Genomic DNA, 9,047 nt, shown 5'->3' with positions numbered 1-9,047 from the left:
CTTTTCAGTTCTTTGGCACTTTGGAAGGGCAGTTTGCCTGGTTCCAGCTCATTAAACATGAGGAGAAGTGATATGTGTCAATTCTGAACCATTGGGGTTTTTTGAGTCTGGCTTTGCTCCTTAGCCATATGACCAATGATACTCTTAATTGTGAAGGCTGCCATCTTGTTCCATGAGTGTCTTCCATGTGAAGTAGAAAACCTCACTACTAAACCCACAATAGCTTTTTGTTTTGAGAGAGAAGGGAGATTAAGAAAGTCATTTTTACGTGTTTGGCCTTTGAGATTTTGAAGGCATGTTTTGCCTGGTGTATGCATTTGCTGTTGCTGTGTAACAAACCACAAACTTAATGGTTCAAAATAATACCTATTTATTCACTCACAACTTTGTAGGACAGAAGTGCAGGATGATAGGTCGAAGTCTGCTCTTGAGACACGGGAGGCTGAAATCAAAGTGTTGGCTATCTGCATTCCTATCTGGAGAACTGTTTTTTGTTTTTGTTTTTGTTTCTTTTTTTTTTTCATGCCTGTTACTAGGAGAATTAAGTTCCTGGTGTTTGAATGGCTAAAATTGCCATTTTCTTGCTGTCTGCCGGCAAGGGGCGGCCCTTGGCTGCTTAAGGTCATGTACATTCTATTTCAAATGGATATTTCTGTCTTAAAACCACAGTCTGCCCTTGTCATGCTTCAAATCTCTCTGATTTCTTTTTCTGCCATGAGCCAGGGAAAGCTTTTTGCCTGTGAAAAACAAGTGATTATGTTTTGCCCACAAGATAATCTAGGATATCTCTGTTTTTAGATAAATTAATTAGTAACCTTCACAACATCTGTAAAGTCCCTTTTGTCATGTGACCTATTTATGCGCATGCTATCTCATTGGCTTTACAATCCCAGGGTTTGGGGGTGGATAATCTTAGAGTGCAATTACTCAAATTTTGCCTGTCACACCTAGCTTAATGCTAGCCTGTTCTCATAACCACCATAGGAAATTCATCTATTCAGTTTTACAACATTCACTAGGTAATGCCAAACATTTTTACAAGGTAGTTATATTAATATATGTTTTCACTAGGAACATATGAGCTCCTGTTGCTTCAGATCCTGGCTAATACATTCTATTGATTTTTTTTTTCTTTTGTCGATCCAGTGAGTATATAATAATGTGTCCTTAATGTTTTAGTTTGAAATTGCTTTTATAACTGATTATGTTGAGTACATTTTATAATTTTGTGGACTATACTTGTTGAAAGAACTGCTTGTCTATTTTCCACTGGGTTTTCATTTTTTAAAATTAATTTGTAGAAAATTAATATGTGATAATTGAAAGTTTTACAGTTTTACAGCTATAAGAAGAAAATAGAAAATTGAAAATATTGGGAGCAAACAAGATGGGTATGAGAAATGGCCTAAGACTGATGGAAATTAAACTTTGGGTTGATGGACACATTGAATAAATAAGGAAGAGAATAATTTACACAGTAAAGACCCAAAGGAGTGAAGTAGGGATTAAATCTAGCACATTTCTTGACTTTTAAAAGCTACATAAAAAGGAGAAAAACAAAACAAAATGAAAATAACACCCCAAAAGCATAAACTGGGACACTAAAAATCAAGTCTGGATAGACAGGCAACAAAAGCAAATGAGTGGCTTGTGAACAAGCAAACCAAAAAAAAAAACAAAAAAACAAAAAGGAACGAAAGAAAAATGAATGCAGCTTATATTTAAATACATAGAAGGCTGGAAAGAGAGAGAGAGATCATGATAGCATCACTGCACTCCAACCTAGACAACAGAGAGAGACCTTGTCTTAAATAAATAAATAAATATATACATACATACATAAATACATAAATAAATGTCTAACTTGCTATTACTTATGTTTTGCATTTGAATAGTGTTTCTCATTACTTTGTATTTTGTAATCATTTATCAACATGAAGCATAAAATTTTAACTAATATTTTGATTAAGAAAAGAATTTGAGAGAAAGTACATTTACAAGGGCAAAACATGGCCTTTCCCATTAACTACACAGGTGAAGGGAGAGACAGCAATAAAACAAATTAATTTTACAATGATACGTACCTTTTAAAAATCATGCTGTATTGTAGAAAATATAACAGCACTTTAAATTAAATAAGAATCATGATTCTCTATGGCTAAAAGATCCAATATTCAAATACACAAGCAAGATATGTAAAAAGAAATCAGTCATATTGTTTCAAATAGCAACACAACTATCAACTGAGAGTGTATTAAATCAGAAAACAAATCTTGTTAAATTTTTACCAATTTAAAAGAAGCCATGAGTATTTTTAAATCAAGTTCTTTTTATCTTCCTTGATATTTATTTTGCCTCAAAGATCTGTATCAACATTCTGAAATATACTAAAAATTTTGTGAATGGAAATATCAAATGTTTGAAATGATTAGTACTGCATTGGGGAATATATATATATATATTCAATTTTTACTTTCTTAGACTAATTTGATTTTCTAATTTTTTTATTTTGACACAAATTAGGTTATAATGTTTTAAGACATCAGCATCTAATACAGATATTTTACATTGTAAATCTTCTCTGTTTTAGAGAAGTTTGAAATCAACATATTCTGTATTTCCTATTGTGTGGATAAAATTCTGATCGTTTCAACATCAGTGATTATGAGTAATGACTGTTGGCATAACCCCATTTGTCTACATTAGCTAATTTTTACGTTGTAAGGGGTAGAAATGATAGTCTACTTTTATATGTGATAATTGTACGTGTTTTCATGTATTTTTTTTAAAATTTCAGCTGCACAATATTGGCAGTAAAACAAGAAACCTTTAACGCCTAGAATGCATTATTTTGATTTAATTTGTGTAGTCTTGTTTTACTCTGTTCTTCCCAAGAAAGAATATGGGTACTTGAAATGTAAACAATATCTAATTTTGTCAGCTTTTTACCATTTTATATTCTTCCAGTATTTAAATCTACTCATATTTTTTCTCATTCTTTAAATAACTTTTAATGCCATTGGATACAATATATAATACAGCAGAGAATGCTCAATTTTATATTCTATAAATGCTAGGGTTCTATGTCTACTAAAATCACACAAAAACAGTTTTCCAGAAATATAGAATATTTCTATCATCACAGAAAGTTTAGAGAATAGTATTAGCCTAGGGAATTTCTTTTAATAGTCAATCACTGGTGAAAGTTGATACATGTAAGCTGTTTTGATAAGCTCACTAGGACATAGCTGTTATGTGATTAATATCATGCTAACTCCATGGCTTTTAATACAAAGTATGACTTCTAGCATAGATTTATTTTTCTTAAATTACATTTAAGACTCTGTATAGTGTGAATTTTAATCAATTGTGGTAAAATAATAATTATCAGAATAATAGTCACCCTAATGCTACAAACTTTTATATGTAATAGGCATAAGTTTATCAAGTTTAGTTAACATATTCACAATTCCACAGTTAACAGTGGTAGGTAAATTGTCATTCCTTCCTGTGATCTCCAGCACTAGGCAGGTCAAGATTATCCTCTCCCATAAATGAGATAAAAATATGTAAACACTTTATTTCCATGGTTCAGTTCCAGATTATGAGTGAGAACATGTGGTGTTTGATTTTCTGTCCCTGTGTTAGTTTGCTGAGAATGATGGTTTCCAGCTTCATCTATGTCCCTGCAAAGGACATGAACTCATTGTTTTTTATGGCTGCATAGTATTCCATGGTGTATATGTGCCACATTTTCGTTATCCAGTCTATCATTGATAGGCATTTGGGTTGATTCCAAGTCTTTGCTGCAAGTTTTCCAGATATATTCTATAATCTATTTGCTTCTTAACTGGTCACAAATTTACTACTGCCCTTAAAATCAGGCCATGGGAAAGAAATCAATTAAAATGTAAGTTTAAATATGCTTTTTGTCATTTCTATTTAATATCCTTTATTAAAAATACAAATATTTTATATCCAAGACTTTTTGACACCAAGGGAATCAGCTTCCTTGATACAAAGCAAATTTTTTTGCAGAAAAATATTTTTAACATAAAGTTCTTTCTTGGAAATATTCAGTAACAATAACATTATATGTTTACTTGATTGCCTTATAAAAATAAGAAAGGAAAACTAATAGACTATATGATGAGAGTAAAAAGTTTCTCAGAACTGAATATTTGAAAAAATTTACTTTGTGAAGATAAACAATATAAGAATTATTTACCAAGCTTATGGCAATATCACATCCTACCAGTAGCTATAAAGTAGCAGTGCCATCTGTCTAGGACTCTAGCAAGCATTCATAATTATATGTTTTAGTTGAATTATTCATTATTTCTCTCATCCCTTGATCTCTGTTCATTTAATGGTACCTTATTTATTTATACTTGCTGATGTATTTATATTTTTGTTTCTTATACAATACATTCAATATGTATTTTCTACTCATGTTGCTTCATTTAAAAATTAGTTGAGCAATTCAGGTAGATTAAATGTCTAAAGTACTATAATAATTATAATCATAAGTTTCATTTAGTAAATGATTATTATATGATAAACACTGTGATAAAGTGTTTACATATTTTTATCTCATTTATGGGAGAGGATAATCTTGACCTGCCTAGTGCTGGAGATCACAGGAAGGAACGACAATTTACCTACCACTGTTAACTGTGGAATTGTGAATACGTTAACTAAACTCGATAAACTTATGCCTATTACGTATAAAAGTTTGTAGTATTAGGGTGATTATTATTCTGATAATTATTATTTTACCACAATTGATTAAAATTCACACTATACAGAGTCTTAAATGTGATTTAAGAAAAATAATTCTATGCTAGAAGTCATACTTTGTATTAAAAGCCATGGAGTTAGCATGATATTAATCACATAACAGCTATGTCCTAGTGAGCTTATCAAAACAGCTTACATGTATCAACTTTCACCAGTGATTGACTATTAAAAGAAATTCCCTAGGCTAATACTATTCTCTAAACTTTCTGTGATGATAGAAATATTCTATATTGGTGTTATCCATTACAATAGCAACTAGCCATATGTGGCTGTTGAGCCCTTTAAATGCGGCTTGTACTATCTAGGAACTGAGTTGTTTTGTATTTATTTATTTATTTTTATTATACTTTAAGTTCTGGGATACACGTGCAGAACATGCGGGTTTGTATACATAGCTATACATGCGCCATGGTGGTTTGCTGCACCCATCAATCTATCATTTACATTAGGTATTTCTCCTAATGCTATCTCTCCCCTTTCCCCCAACCTGCTGACAGGCCCTGGTGTGTGATGGTCCCCTCCCTGTGCCCATATGTTTTCATTGTTCAGTTCCCGATTATGAGTGAGAACATGCAGTGTTTGGTTTTCTGTCCCTGTGTTAGTTTGCTGAGAATGATGGTTTCTAGCTTCATCTGTATCCCTGCAAAAGACGTGAACTCATTCTTTTTTATGGCTACATAGTATTCCATGGTGTATATGTGCCACATTTTCTTTATCCACTCTATCATTGATAGGCATTTGGGTTGATTCCAAGTCTTTGCTATTGTAAATAGTGTTAAAATAAACATACATGTACATGTGTCTTTATAGTAGAATGATTTATAATTCTTTGGGTATATGCCCAGTAATGGGATTGCTGAGTCAAATGGTATTTCTAGTTCTAGATCATTGAGAGATCGCCACACTGTGTTCCACAAGGGTTGAACTAATTTACACTCCCACCAACACTGTAAAAGCATTCCTATTTCTCCACATCCTCTCCACCATCTGTTGTTTCTTGACTTTTTAATGATTGCCATTCTAACTGGTGTGAGAAGGTATCTCATTGTGGTTTTGATTTGCATTTCTTTGATGACCAGTGATGATCTTTTTTTCATGTGTTTGTTGGCCATGAAAATGTTTTCTTTTGGAAAGTGTCTGTTCATATTCATCACCCACTTTTTGATGGGGTTGTTTGTTTTTTTTCTTGTAAATTTGTTTAAGTTCCTTGTAGATTCTGGATATTAGCCCTTTGTCAGATGGATAGATTGCAAAAATTTTCTCCCATTCTGTAGGTTGCCTGTTCACTCTGATGATAGTTTCTTTTGCTGTGCAGAAGCTCTTTAGTTTAATTAGATCCCATTTGTCAATCTTGGCTTTTGTTGCAATTGTTTTTGGTGTTTATTCATGAAGTCCTTGCCCATGCCTATGTCCTGAATGGTATTGCCTAGGTTTTCTTCTAGGGTTTTTATGGTTTTAGGTCTTACATTTTAATCTTTAATCCATCTTGAGTTGATTTTTGTATGAGGTGTAAAGGCGTCCGGTTTCCATTTTCTGCATATGGCTAGCCAGTTTTCCCAACGCCATTTATGAAATGGGGAATCCTCTCCCCATTGCTTGTTTTTGTCAGGTTTGTCAAAGATCAGATGGTTGTAGACGTGTGGTGTTATTTCTGAGGGCTCTGTTCTATTCCATTGGTCTATATATCTGTTTGGGTGCCAGTACCATACTGTAGCCTTGTAATATTGTTTGAAGTTAGGTAGCATGATGCCTCCAGCTTTGTTGCTTTTGCTTAGGATTGTCTTCGCTATAGAGGCTCTTTTTTGGTTCTGAGTTTTTAAACCAAATTTGAAATCTAAATATCCATATGCCTAGTGGCTACTGTATTAGAAAATGAAATTCTAGAAAGTGTTCAATTTGAAAGGCATTAAGATGCTAACCCCAAGACCTTCAAGTGATATAAATTACTCTGATTCCTGGAAATATATAGCAACCACAATTGTGGTAGTGCCACAATTAACAACTCATAGTCACTCAAGTTTATTTTGAAACACAAGTTTGAAACACACGAGTTTATTTTGAAACAAACCCAGACCCTCTAAAATCTCATTCATAATATTTTACTAGGCAATTTTAAAAGAATGTCAGCTGCTCTTTTTCATGCATAATGACAATACATTTTCAACCTAAATAAACTCATCAATAGTTAATACCATTAGGTCTTTAGTCAATTTTTAAATTTTCCCAATAATCTTATGAATAAAATTTTCAAAATAACTTTAAATACATTCCATATCTGCATATTGGTATGGTAGGTTTGCATTTGTTTGATAAGTTTTATAAAAGTCTTTGAAAACCTATTTGGCTCATTTCATTCTATTCTGGGAGTTTTCAACTTACTGGTTGAAAAACCTTTTTGTGCTTGGTTTCTTGGGTAGACTTTTTCATATTCTGGATTTGCAAATATCTTATTATTATATTTTGACTTTGGCTAATTTAGGAGTAGCATGATTTAATATTTCTCACTATCCTCAGTATTTTCTAAAAGCATTTGGTAGAATTGAAATATTGTTCAGTGTCAGCTTTTCTTTTCTGGTAAGATTAACTTATTGGAAGTGCTGTTTGCTTCTATCAGGAGGCATATAGTAACCAGTAATCTAGTTTTTTTGTGTGATTCTCACTGCCATACTTAAAGACTAGGTCCAATATTTCTTCAATTTTTTTAAATAGTGGTAATATAATTTGAACATTTGTTCCTTATTCACAAGCTGGCATCTGTAATTAAAAAACGCTTCTCTAGTAATGATTTTGCTCTCCTAATGCAAAGTTTTTTTAATGAAGGATAAGTGGTTATTCCCTTTTATCATTAATAATTTTTAAACATAGAAACCCTAGAAACCACCAAAGATTACTATGAATTTGTTTTAATATCCTTATTAACTCAAGAATGTAAAGATATTTTATACATTTCAATCCACTGCAGTTGTCATGATTTTTCTACTCAAATGATTACATCCTTGACCAGCAGAAGTCTCTTCAAGTTGGCTCCTAAGTAGTTTGAAAATGACTTATCATTTAAAGGTGCTAGATAAAAAGAAAATCCTTCTTACAGAAGTTGCTAGCTCAGAAATATTTGTGTGCATCTATTTCTGAGCCCTTTACTTTACCTGCTATGTATACAGTATTTATCTATCCCCAATCTAATACCACACTATTTTGATGACATTTATTTAAAACTGCATCATGGCACCAAGAGAAACATTTCTTCCACTTAGTTGTCTTCTCTCAAAGATTTTTGGTAATTTTTGGATTGTTGCCCACCTATATAAATTTTAGTATTCATCAAATTCCTCAATAACGTATTTTGGAACTTTTAATTGACTTGTAGTGGATATATAGATCCATTTGTTTGAAGTGCATGCCATCATGATTTTGAGTGTTTCCAGCCATAAAAAATCTGCCTTTGATTGTCTGTTGTATTTTAAAGCTTCAAAAATATTTTTCCAAATGTATTATAAGCTGCAGGCATGTATTTTATTAGTGTTTTTCTGCATACATTTTTCATTACAAAGTTAGATGTTATTACATGTCTAACTATTGCTATTGGTTAATAGGAGTAAAATAAATTATTATTGTATTGATCTTATAATGAGAATGCTTACATTTATGTAATTATACTTTTTTCCCTATAGTGTGCTTATTTGCCTATGTAGATCATCCATTCAACTGCAAAATACAGATAATTTTGGTGTTCTTTTTAGTTTGTAGCCACCTTTATTTGTTTTATCATCTTTTTGCACTTGCAAAAAGTTTAAAAACAGTGTGGAATATATAGAATAATTCATTAAGGACAAGCTTTCTTGTTTGTTTCTAACTTTAATTGGAATGCATCTAGTAGTTCACTAATTATGCACTCTGTCATATGGCTGTTTACTTAAATAGCTATCCTCAATGAAATTAAGAAAGTCAAGCTCTCCTCTTAATTTAATGCAATTTTATCATCATCGACTGTGGAATTGTTTCACATATATTTTGGCATTTTTTGAGTTAACCATATTATTTCAATTTTTAAAAATAATGTGGTGAATTAAACTACCAGATTTTCTAAAGTTTAACAAAAAAATGCATTTCTGGCATAAATCTTCCTTGACTATTACGTACTTTTTTTTCAAATAATATCAAATATTTTCTCGATTTGCTTTGCCACGATTATTTTTGCAACTAAGTTCATTAATGTCTTTTGCCTTTATTTTTTTTCCTACTGTCTT

The sequence above is a fragment of the Homo sapiens genome, chromosome 9, assembly GCF_000001405.40.
Source record: "Homo sapiens chromosome 9, GRCh38.p14 Primary Assembly".
In the NCBI taxonomy this organism is placed as follows: domain Eukaryota; kingdom Metazoa; phylum Chordata; class Mammalia; order Primates; family Hominidae; genus Homo; species Homo sapiens.
This window is presented reverse-complemented; position numbering follows the sequence as displayed.